Here is a 12,055-nt window from a genome sequence, read left to right on the forward strand (position 1 = left end):
AACATGGTGAAACCCTGTCTGTACCAAAAGTACAAAAAATTAGTGGGGCATGGTGGTGGGTACCTGCGTCCCAGCTACTCAGGAGGCTGAGGTGGGAGGTTCGCTTGAGCCGGGGAGGTGGAGTTTGCAGTGAGCCGAGATCACCCCACTGTACTCTGCCCTGGGTGACAGAGTGAGACCCCATCTTAAAAAAATAAAAATAAAAAATAAAAAAAATCAATTGACTATGTATGTGTGAGTCTATTTCTGGACTCTCTTTTTGTTCCATTGATCTAAATGTTTATTTTTAAGCCAAAACAACATTGTCTTAGTTTCTGTAGATTTATATTGGTAATCAAATTAGGTAGTATTATTTCTCCAACTTTATTTTTTATTTTAAAAATTATTTGGCCTTTTAAAAAATCTCCACACACATTTTAGAATCAGCTTGTCTATTTTTACAAGAAAACTTGCTGAGATTTTGATTGGAATGGCATTGCATGACTAAATCAATGAGTGGAGGAATTGACATGCAACAATATTGAGTCTGGCAATCCATGCAAATAGCACATCTTTCTATTTACTTGAATCTTCTTTAATTTGACATCTTTTTCCAAATTTATCCCTAAGTGTTCAATATTTTTATGCTACTATAAATGGCGTTTTAGATAATTTCCAGATATCTTTCGTTCTTGATTTCTAAATTAATTCTGTTGCTATTAGAGAACATTGTATAATCTCAATCTTTTATCCAGACTTGTTTTATGACTCAGAATACAGGTTATCTTGGGAAATGTTCTGAGGGGACTTGAAAAACATATGTATTCTGCTGTTGTTGGATGAAATGTCTATAAATGTCAATTAGGTCAAGATGTTTTATAGTGTTATTCAAGTTTTCTAAATCCTGACTGATTTTCTTTCTAGTTGATCTATCAATGATTGAGATGTTGACAAATCTAATTGTGGTGGTTTTGTCTATCTCTCAACTTTGTCAGTTTTTGCTTCCATGTATTTTGGAGCTCTGATGTTAGATGTATACAATTTAAAACTGTCGCATTATCTAATGAATTGACGTTATTATTACTATTTTATTATTATTCTTTCCCTTCACATGTACAGTTTGTTCGTAGGAAGCCTACAAGTTTTGGTACCTCTCGTCACAATGATCCCAGATTCCTGTTGGGTGTGTTGTAAACAGAGGAGCCATTCCTCAGGCCCCCTGCTCTGAGCACATCCCGGACCTCTTTACTATTAAGAAATTATCGAGGCCAGGCGCGGTGGCTCACGCCTGTAATCCCAGCACTTCAGGAGGCCGAGGCGGGCGGATCATGAGGTCAGGAGATCGAGACCATCCTGGCCCACATGGTAAAACCCCGTCTCTACTACAAAAAAAAATTACCTGGGTGTAGTGGCGAGCGCCTGTAGTCCCAGCTACTTGGGAGGCTGAGGCAGGAGAATCGCTTGAACCTGGGAGGTGGAGGCAGAGGTTGCAGTGAGCCGCGATCGCGCCACTGCACTCCAGCCTGGTGACAGGGCGAGACACCGTCTCAGAAAAGAAAAAAGAAATTATCGAGTTGTGCTGGCGAGACACCGTCTCAAAAAGGAAAACAGAAATTATCGAGTTGTGTTTGCAGCCGCCGTCGCTGCCGCGCCGCCGTCGCTCTCCAACGCCAGCGCCGCCTCTCCCGCCTCTTCCTCGCCGAGCTCCAGTCGAAGGAGAAGGGAGTAAGTAAGGAAGTCTCTATACCTTGGCTCGTACAAAGCCAAGTGCCCGCAAACTGGACGGTGGTAAAGCACCAGGAAGCAACTGGCTACAAAAGCCGCTCGCAAGACTGCGCCCTCTACTGGAGGGGTGAAGAAACCTCATCGTAATAGGCCTGGTACTGTGGCACTCCGTGAAATTAGGCGTTATCAGAAGTCCACTGAACTAATTCGCAAACTCCCCTTCCGGCGTCTGGTGAGAGAAATTGCTCAGGACTTTAAAACAGATTTGTGCTTCCAGAGCTATCGGTGCTTTGCAGGAGTCAAGTAAGGCCTATCTTGTTGGCCTTTTTGAAAACACCAACCTGTGTGCTATCCATGCCAAGCATGTAACAGTTATGCCAAAAGATATCCAGCTAGCACTCCGCACACGTGGAGAACGTGCTTAAGAATCCACTATGATGGGAAACATTTCATTCTCAAAAAAAAAAATTATCTTATTCCTGTTATTGGTAGTTCTGAACATTAGATTTTTTTTCCCCCATGGGGTCAAAAGGTACCTAAGTATATGATTACGAGTGCAAAAATAGGGGACAGAAATCAGGTATTGGCAGTTTTTCCATTTTCGTTTGTGTGTGAATTTTTAATATAAATGCAGGGAGGTAAAGCATTAATGCAAGTTAAAATGTTTCCGTGAACAAGTTTCAGCGGTTCAACTTTATAATAATTATAAATAAACCTGTTAAATTTTTCTGGACAATGCCAGCATTTGGATTTTTTTTTAAACAAGTAAATTTCTTATTGACAGCAACTAAATAGTGTTGGTAGCATTTTTATCATATAGTAGATTCTATCCATTCACTATATTTTTCTGAGTTGTCCTACATGCAAGCACATGTGTTTAATGTTGTCTGTCTTCCGTGCTGTTCCTGTAAGTTTGCTATTAAAATACATTAAATTATAAAAAAAGAAATTATCATTTTTATCCCTGGAAATATTTCTTGCTCTGAAATCTACTTTGTTTGATAGTCTTTTTTTCTTTTTTTTGCGGTGGGGGAGCGAAGTCTCACTATTGTCCCCCAGGCTGGAGTGCGATGGCACGATCTCGGCTCACTGCAACCTCCACCTCCCAGGTTCAAGCGATTCTCCTGCCTCGGCCACCTGAGTAGCTGGTGTGCATGCACCTGTGGTGGTGCATACCACCACACCTGGCTAATTTTTTTATTTTTAGTAGAGACGGGGTTTCACCATGTTGGCCAGGCTGGTCTAGAACTCCTGACCTCAGGTGATCTACTTGTCTCAGCCTCCCAAAGTGCTGGGATTACAGGGGTGAGCCACTGCACCCGGCATTTTTTTTAAGACAAGGTCTCGCTTTGTCACCCAGGCTGAAGTGCAATGATGCGATCTTGGCCTATTATAGCCTTGACTTCCTGGGCTCGAGCGATCCTCCCACCTCAGCCTCCCAAGTAGCTGGGACTATAGGCACATCCTAATTTTTGTATTTTTTGTAAAGACGAGGTCTTGCTATGTTGCCCAGGCTGGTCTTGAACTCCTGAGCTCAAGCGATCTACCTGCCTCAGGCTCCCAAAGTGCTGGGATTACCAGTGTGGGCCACTGTGCCTAGTCTGCTTGATATTTTTATAGCCATTCCAGCTTTCTTTTGATTAGTGTTTTTATGGCATGTATTTTTCCGTCCTTTTTCTTTATCTGTACTTTTTTTTTTTTTTTTTTTTTTTTGAGACAGGGTCTCGGTCTGTCACCCAGGCTGGAGTGAAGTGGCTCCATCATGGCTCACTACAGCCTCAATCTCCTGGGCTCAAGTGATCCTCCCATCTCAGCCTCCTGAGTGGCTGCAACTACAAGTAGGCACCACCATGCCCAGCTAATTTTTGTAGTTTTCGTGGAGAAGGGGTCCCAGTGTGTCTTGACCTCCTGGGCTCAAGCGATCCGCCTGCCTTGGCCTCTTAAAAGTGCTGAGATTACAGACATGAGCCACCACACCCGGCCTTGCCTTTGTTTTTGAAAAATATTTCTCCTGTAAATAGAATTCCAGGCTGGGCATGGTGGCTCACGTCTGTAATCCCAGCACTTTGGGAGGCCGAGGTGGGTGGATCACGAGGTCAGGAGTTTGAGACCTGCCTGGCCAACATGGCAAAACCCCGTCTCTACTAAAAATACAAAAATTAGCTGGGCGTGGTGACACGTGGCTGTAATTCCAGCTACTCGAGAGGCTGAGGCAGGAGAATCACTTAAACTCGGGAGGTGGGGGTTGCAGTGAGCTGAGATCGCACCACTGCACTCTAGCCTGGGTGACAAGAGCAAAACTCTGTCACTCACACACACACACACACACACTCACACACTAGAATTCCAGGTTGATAGGTTTTCCTTTCAATACTTTAAAAGATGTTGCTCTGCTGTCTTCTGCTTGCATTGTTTCTGATGAGAAGTCTGCTGTAGTTACCTTTTTTCCTCTGGCTGTTTTGAACATTTTCTTTTTAATCACTTATTTCCTGCAGTTTGATTATGATTGCCTTTCTGTGTGTTTTCATTATGTTTATTCTGCTTGAGGTTAGCTGAGTTTTGTTTGTTTTTGATACGAGTTCTGGCTTTGTCACCCAGTCTGGAGTGCAGTGGTGCTCGCTGCAGCCTCAACCTCCTGGGCTCATGTGATCCTCCTGCCTCAGCCCCCTAACTCCCCAGTAGCTGGGACTACAGGCGCTTGACACCACACCCAGCTAATTTTTGTGTATATATAAATTTTGTGTATACATATATATATTTGTGTGTGTGTGTGTGTGTATATATATATATATATATTTTGTGTGTGTGTGTAGAAATGGGGTTTTGCTATGTTGCCCAGGCTATAATTTTTTTTTTAATCATTCAAGGTCTATTTTATCTTTATAATGAAATTAAGTCTATATAGACCAAAGAAAGAAAACAAGGGATGAAATGATAACAATAATTTACATTTTGAGGTGTTTACTTTTTGCCAAGCCTGGTGTTGGGGATTTTACATTCATTACTTCCATTCATGTGCAACAACTGAGTACTCAGCATTGGACCAAGAGCTTTACATCTATCACAAGCTAATCCTCCAAGCACTTATCAGATAGGCATTATATTAAAGATCAGAAAACTGAGGCCCAGGGAAGCTAAACGCAAAGCAGATCTTGCTAAAGCAAGATCATATACCTCCTCTGTGACTTTCTTTGTGTGTGGGGGGGAAATTGTATACTGTTATTTGTTCAAGTAATTTTTTTTTTTTTAGATGAAGTCTTGCTCTGTCATCCAGGCTGGAGTGCAGTGGTGTGATCTTGGCTCACTGCAACCTCAGCCTCCCAGGTTTAAGCGATTCTCCTGCTTCAGCCTCCAGAGTAGCTGGGACTACAGGCTTGCACCACCATGCCCAGCTAATTTTTGTATTTTTAGTAGAGACGGAGTTTTGCCATGTTGGCCAGGGTGGTCTTGAACTCCTGACCTCAGGTGATCCGCCCGCCTCGGCCTCCCAAAGTGCTGGGATTACAGGCATAAGCCACCATGCCCGGCTGTCCTGCAGCTTGTTAAGATTCGTTTTTATTTTTAATTTTTAATTTTTTAAGTTTTAAAATATTTTTTCTTTTAAAAAATAAGAGAAAAGGTCTCACTATGTTGTCCAGGCTGGTCTCAAATTCCTGGGCTCAAGCGATCTGCCCACCTTGGCCTCCCAAAGTGCTGGGATTATAGGCATGAGCCGCTGTGCCCAGCTGGTTGTTGAGGTTTGATTCATTTTCCTTTTTCTCTCTACACTGCGTTTTGGATAGTTTATATTGCTATATCTTCAAGTTCACAGTTAATCCCACCCAGTCTAATTTTTTTATATCGGATATTATATTTTTAATCTCTAGAAGTTCCATTTATATCTTTTTATATTGTGTTTCTCTCATTATGTTTATGTTTTCTTTTACATTTTTTTTTCTTTTTGACACAAGGGCTTACTCTGTTACCCAGGCTGGGAGTAGTGGTGTGTTCAGGGCTCACTACAGCCTCAACCTCCTGGGCTCAACTGATCCTCCCCACTCAGTCTCCCAAGTAGCTGGGACTACAGGCACATGTCACTGTGCCCAGCTAATTTAAAAATTTTTGGTAGAAATGGAGTCTCATTAAGTTGCCCAGGCTAGTCTCAAACTCCTGGGCTCAAGCATTCCTCCCACCTTGACCTCCAAAAGTGCTGAGATTACAGGCATAAGCCACCGTGTCTGGCCGCCTTTTACATTCTTAAGAATATTTATAATATTTATGTTAGCTGTCTTAAGGTTCTTGTCTGCTAATTCCATCTTCTTATAGTTTTGAGATTTATACTGATTGATTTTCCTTTTGATTATGGGTTATATTTTTCTACTTCTTTGCATATTTGGTAATTATTTTCTTGTATGCCAGACTCCATGAGTTTTACATCATTAGGTGTTGATATTGTGGTATTTCTTTAGAGTGTTGACATTATTCTGGCATGTGGTTAAAATTACTTGATGTTGCTGGGCATGGTGGCTCATGCCTGTAATCCCAGCATTTTGGGAGGCTGAGGCAGGTGGATCACGAGGTCAGAAGTTCGAGACCAGCCTGGCCAACATGGTGAAACCCTGTCTCTACTAAAAATACAAAAATTAGCGTGGCATGGTGGTGCACATCTGTAATCTCAGTCACTAGGGAGGCTGAGGCAGGAGACTCGCTTGAACCCGGAGGCAGAGGTTGCAGTGAGCCAAGACATGCCACTGCACTCCAACCGGGGTGACAGAGTGAGACTCTGGTTCAAAAAAAAAAATTACTTGGGGTTAGTTTCAAACTTTCAGGGCTTACTAACCAAAGCATGATCCTTCTGGCTAGTAGTAACACAAACTACTCACAGCCCTGTGTGAGCTCCAGAAATTGTTTAGTTTACTACATTCTGGTGGTCCTTTACCCGGCTTCATGGTGATTCACTGGATGTATACATAAGTTACTTCTCAGCCAAAGACTCAAAAAGATTCCTCTGCAGATTTCTGGTGTTCTCTGTCTTTGTAAACTGGCCAATCCCAGGGCTCACCTCATTTGTTCTCTTTCTCTCAGAGATCATAGTTATATGTTGCCTGTTGTCCAATGTCTGAAAGCCACTGTTTCATATATTTTATCCAGTTTTCTAATTTTCCAGAAAGAGAATTATTGTAAGTTAATTTTTGACAGGTGAAAATGTTAAGTCTGTTGACAGATTTTTCATGACTTCTTCAATTTAATTAACAGTAATAGGATTTGGGGGACTTTCAATTTCTTCTTGAGCCAGATGTAGTAAGTTACTTTCCTAGAAATTGGTCTTTTTCTTCAAGTTTTTAAATGCTGTTGATAGAATTATCTTATTAACTTTTAAACCTCTGTCTTATTTATAGCTGTGCCCCTAGTTTCGTTTGTATCTGCTGAAGTGTATATATCTGTCCACTGCTACAGGGGGGAATATAATAATACTCTGTCTCTCTTCCATTCTCCAAATCCCACAGAAGTACCTCTCATTTATGGCATCTAGCATGGAAAATGGTTAGCAAAAGATACTAAGAAATGCTCTTAGTATCTAACTCTTGGGGGATCACAGAAGAGAGATCCTGCGTTGCTAGTGGATAGTCCGGTGCAGTTCACTGCCTCAGGTGCTCAGCATCCATACATAGCCTTTTACCCACATTTATTTTCAAACAATGAGAATGACAGCATAATGCTTTCACCTCAGTTCTGTGACTATCTCTCATGCAAATGAAGATGCCCTCACTATCTTCCTTGGAAGGGGAGACCCAAAGTCCTACCAGTCATTTCTCTTCTCTTTATGATGGTCCTTCTTTTTCCTTTTCAGTCACAATCTTCCTTTGGTATCCTGTAACCTAAAAACTAAATTATGAGGTTAGCTACCATCAACTCACCCTAAATGAAAGAGTAGAGGACAGAGAAGGGGAAGAAAGTCTATATATTAGTTGTACATATATAAAACAAACCAAGGGAAAAATATGTTTAGCTACTAAAATCTCTTTTTTTTTTTTGAGATGGACTCCTGCTCTTGTCACCCAGACTGGAGTGCAATAGCACAATCTCAGCTCAGCTCACTGCAACCTCTGCCTCCTGGGTTCAAGCAATTCTCCTGCCTCAGCTTCCTGAGTAGCTGGGATTACAGGGGCCTGCCACCACGCCCGGCTGATTTTTGTATTTTTAGTAGAGACGGGGTTTTGCCATGTTGGCCAGGGTGGTCTCGAACTCCTGACCTCGTGATCCGCCTGCCTTGGGCTCCCAAAGTGCTGGGATTATAGGCATGAGCCACTTTGCCTGGCCAAAATCTCATTTCTTAATTGGTGATGAGGCAGTAGTTGGTGTTAATAATTTCCTTCTTCCCCTATCCATTTCACATTCCCTATTCCCTCAGTCAGCCCTTCAACTAATTGGTTTTTATCTTACAGCATGACTTACACCTTCACTCTTAAGTTTGTGAACTATTAATGGTTCTGATTAAACTGTGTTGCTATAGTCTTCCTTTACTTTTTGATATGGGACATTGAAGTATTAATAGGCATCATATCCAGAATGAGTCAAGTCCACTGAGGAATTGCTGCCTCCTTCCTCCATTAGGGGGCCGTGAAATCAACCTGCCATCAGGTGACTGTCTGGTGCTGCTGAGAAAGCGTGCCATACTAGGGACTCATCGTTGACCTTTGCTATAGGTAGATTCAGCAATCACCAATGGGAGTAGCCAGATCAGCCTTGGTGAGAAATCCCTATGGCAGAGCCGATGCATAACTTCTAACCCTGCTACATGGCCACATTATTTATGAGTCCATTGAGCAAGCCCTGGGGTAGCTGGGGAAATAGGTTGAAAGGCATTCAACCTCCTGCCAGTGCTTCCCATTGGCTAAACCCAAGCAGAAGCGAGAGGGCAAGGCAGCCTAGTGACACAGTCCACACAGGTCAGAGCAAGATGGAGAACAAGGGAGAAAGGATCTGGAGAAAGACACAAAAGTTACACAGTGTACTCTCTGTTGTGGTGCCTCAAGTAAGATTTCTGCTCACCAGACCTAGACTTTTTTTCAGTTAGGACTTTGTAGGCGCTCATTGTTTCAATTCTGGGGAGACCATGAGCAATTAGGCAATGACAAGGATGCCTGCAGCTCAAACCATTGATTACCAAACAGGCCTTGTGTCCCATTTCCATAACCATAACCATACTGTCTGGCATTTATATGCTGCCAGTGGCAGAGGCTAAATGCATATAAATGAGATTCCATTATTCCCACTGAGATCAAGGAGCCTAGATTAATGTCTGGCATCTATAGTGTGTGCTCAATAAATACTTGTTTATTGCATAAACACTTTGTGAGGTAGATATTATTATCTGCTTTCTGTGTATTTTGTTGGAGTCAATTGGCTAACCTTTCTGGCTATTTTTTATCAGTTTCCCTCTTCCAGATCTCGGCATGATTCCCTAAAGCTTAATACCACAGTCAAATCTATTACTTCCAAGCTCAGAAAGCTTAGTTGTTGGATGGGCTAAGCCTCGACTCACGGAAACAGCAGCATCTGCAGTGTTCTTCATTGCCTTCATTTCAGAAGTTGTGTTCTTAACAGCAAGGAGTGTGAATGCTTTTTACATCTTTGACGAGATCAGAACTCAGAGCATGTGAAATGGAGGAAGGGAAACACAAGACTGAGGGAGTCCAGAGATTTGGGTTCTAGCCTGGTTCTATCTTTTGTGCATTGTGTTAGTTTCCTAGGGCGGCTGTAACAAATTGCCATAAACATGTAGCTTAAGACAAAAGAAATTTGTTCTCTCATCGTTCTGGAAGCTAGAAGTCTGATATCAAGGTGTTGGTAGAGTCACACTCTCTCCAAATATTCCCTCCTTTTTGACTCTTTCAGCTTCTGGTGGCTCCAGGCATTCCTTGCCTTGTGGCTTACCTAATTCCATCTCTACTTCCATCTTCACATCACTTTTTCTCTTCTGCGTCTCTGTGTGTTCAATATCCCTCTGCCTTTCTCTTACAAGAACACCTGCCATTGGATGTAGTTTGCCCTAAATCAAGGATAATCTTATCATGAACCCTTAGCTTAATTATATCTGCTAAGACGCTTTTTCCAAATAAGATAATGTTTAAAGTTCCAGGGATTAGAACTTGGACATCTCTTTTAGGGGGACATTATTCAACCCACTACAGGCACATCAAATCACATCCTTCTCTGGACCTCAGTTTCCCCATCTGTAAATTAAAAGGGTTGGATTGGATGAATCTCTAAACATTTTATAGTTCTCTTAATCTTTACTTCATGTAATCAAGGTCATATAAATAATGTCACCCTAAACAATGTGGCTACAAGAGACAACCAACAACTGACCACTGAAAAATTCTTCACAGCATAGCACCACAACATAGGCAAGAGGTTCTTCTTTTGTGTTGTGTTTGTAAACCTGGCCCCAGCCTTTGCTCCATGCTCAAGAAGGTGAAATCGGCTCTAACTATCAAGCATCTCATTTCTGCTTCAACAGCTCACAGTCACATGCCCAAAAACAAGGAGGGATTTCTGATTCTTTAACAGGCTTCTGCAACCTCTGTCCTTGCACATATTGCCAGTGTCATCTTCTATTACCTTTAGCTTGCTGCCCTGTGGCTCAGAAAGCCACAAGGCAGATTTCGTGACTCTTAGAAAATAATAAAAAAAAGTATTGAAATGCTTTCTTTAAATATAAACCACAGTCATAAGTTATTCAGATATATATGAATAGCTATTTTTGGCAGAGGAAACCCCAGCAATTTTCAATGGGCTCTAAAGAAAAAGCCATTGAGACTACGCTGAGTGATTTGGGGGCCTGCCTTCCTGAAAATCACCAAGGTGATAAAGGTGGAGCCACTAGACAACAGAGCCATCTTGTAATTCTACAGAACATACGGTGACCCTAAAACATTTCCAAAGGCTTAACATTTTAATGAGGCAGAAGGTTAAGATTGGATAATACACTGAACACAAATCTGATAACACTTCATAACAATTTCAAAGAAAGACCCTTTGTTTCCAGTGGTCTCTTTGTAGCCCCCTCTCCTAAGCAGTTGGTTATATACCAGTTCGGAAAGGACAGTAATCTTTGTGATTAACGTCCAGCACCATGGCTACCCCAAGGCACAACACTGATATAGGTACCTTTGTCAATCAACAGAGTTCTCCAGCCTCTTTTGTCTGCTCACTCCCCCCACCCCCACCCTCTTCTGCCCAACCATTTCTAATAGGGCACCCTCCTGTGACCACTTCTTTCTGCGACTCTCCCCACCCTGGCCCCAGCTCACACATACATAACTAATCAGGTGTCATATCCCTGGGGCCTTGCTCCTTAAATTCCAAGATAACCAGTTAATAATTTAAGGTTTTATCTTAACTGCTTTACAATTGATTATTAACCTTTGCCAAGGCTTGTGCTGTATCAGCATCAAGTATTTCATTGTCGTTTTCTATCTTCTGGAAGATACGAAAAGAAAAAACTGTCAAGTCAGCCATTCTGGTTTGTTGATCTCAGCTTCACAGTCCACGGGTTGAGGTCAACTCTGGTCCCTAAACTTTCCTACCTGGGGTTTGTGAATCTTCTTTCCCCTCATTAAATATAATCTCTTTATCTAAATCTCCTCAGAGGGAGCCAGCTAACCTGCTAATTTGTAGAAGGGTGTTAAAAAATATTATCCTTCCACCCCAAAATAACATGATCATTTTAATGGAGCTCCCTCAAGCTAACCTCCTTTATGATGAGACCCTGAGACCAAGACAGGTCACAAAAGAAGATTGTCTGCTGCTTCCAGGGCCCCATGGTGTACCTGGATCTTCCAAGTATTCTTGTCACACAGAATCTGTCTCATTTGTGATACAATATCCAAATCATGGCAAAGGAGCAATGGCATACGGAAAAAAGCAGTGTTGTGTACATTTCTGTAGAATAAAAGATATATAATAGGAAGAAATGTGGTGTGAGTACGAGTGGGCCTAGAGGTGTATCCGTTCAGTTGAACCCTCCATATATAAATGTTGAGGCATTAGAGAGTAGGCAGATGACTTAGTCGGCTTGGGCTGCTGTAACAAGATACCACAGACCTGGTGAGTTAAATAACAGACATTTGTTTTCTCACAGTTCTGGACGCTGGAAGTCCGAGATAAAGGGTCCAACCAGTTCAGTTTCTGGTGAGGGCTCTCATCTTGGCTTGCAGACTGTCACCTTCTCCCTGTGTCCTCAAAGGGCAGAGGGCGCTAGAGTGAGCAAGCTCTCTGGTGTTTCTTCTTATAAGGAGACTAATCCTATCTGATTAGGGTTCTATCCTATGACCTCATGTAACATTAATTACTTTCTTACTCCAAA

At 42.1% G+C, this 12,055-nt stretch overlaps 1 non-coding gene and 1 pseudogene across 1 annotated transcript; one reads left to right on the plus strand and one right to left on the minus strand.

The window, feature by feature from the left end:
* Window positions 1–1,088: 1,088 nt before the first annotated feature.
* On the minus strand, window positions 1,089–1,216 carry LOC124900370 (small nucleolar RNA SNORA11). The gene has a single exon (XR_007064821.1). It is a non-coding gene; the product is annotated as a small nucleolar RNA SNORA11 (small nucleolar RNA).
* Window positions 1,602–2,320, plus strand: H3P39 (H3 histone pseudogene 39; annotated as a pseudogene).
* Window positions 2,321–12,055: the final 9,735 nt, after the last annotated feature.

The sequence above is a fragment of the Homo sapiens genome, chromosome 15, assembly GCF_000001405.40.
Source record: "Homo sapiens chromosome 15, GRCh38.p14 Primary Assembly".
Lineage (NCBI taxonomy): Eukaryota > Metazoa > Chordata > Mammalia > Primates > Hominidae > Homo > Homo sapiens.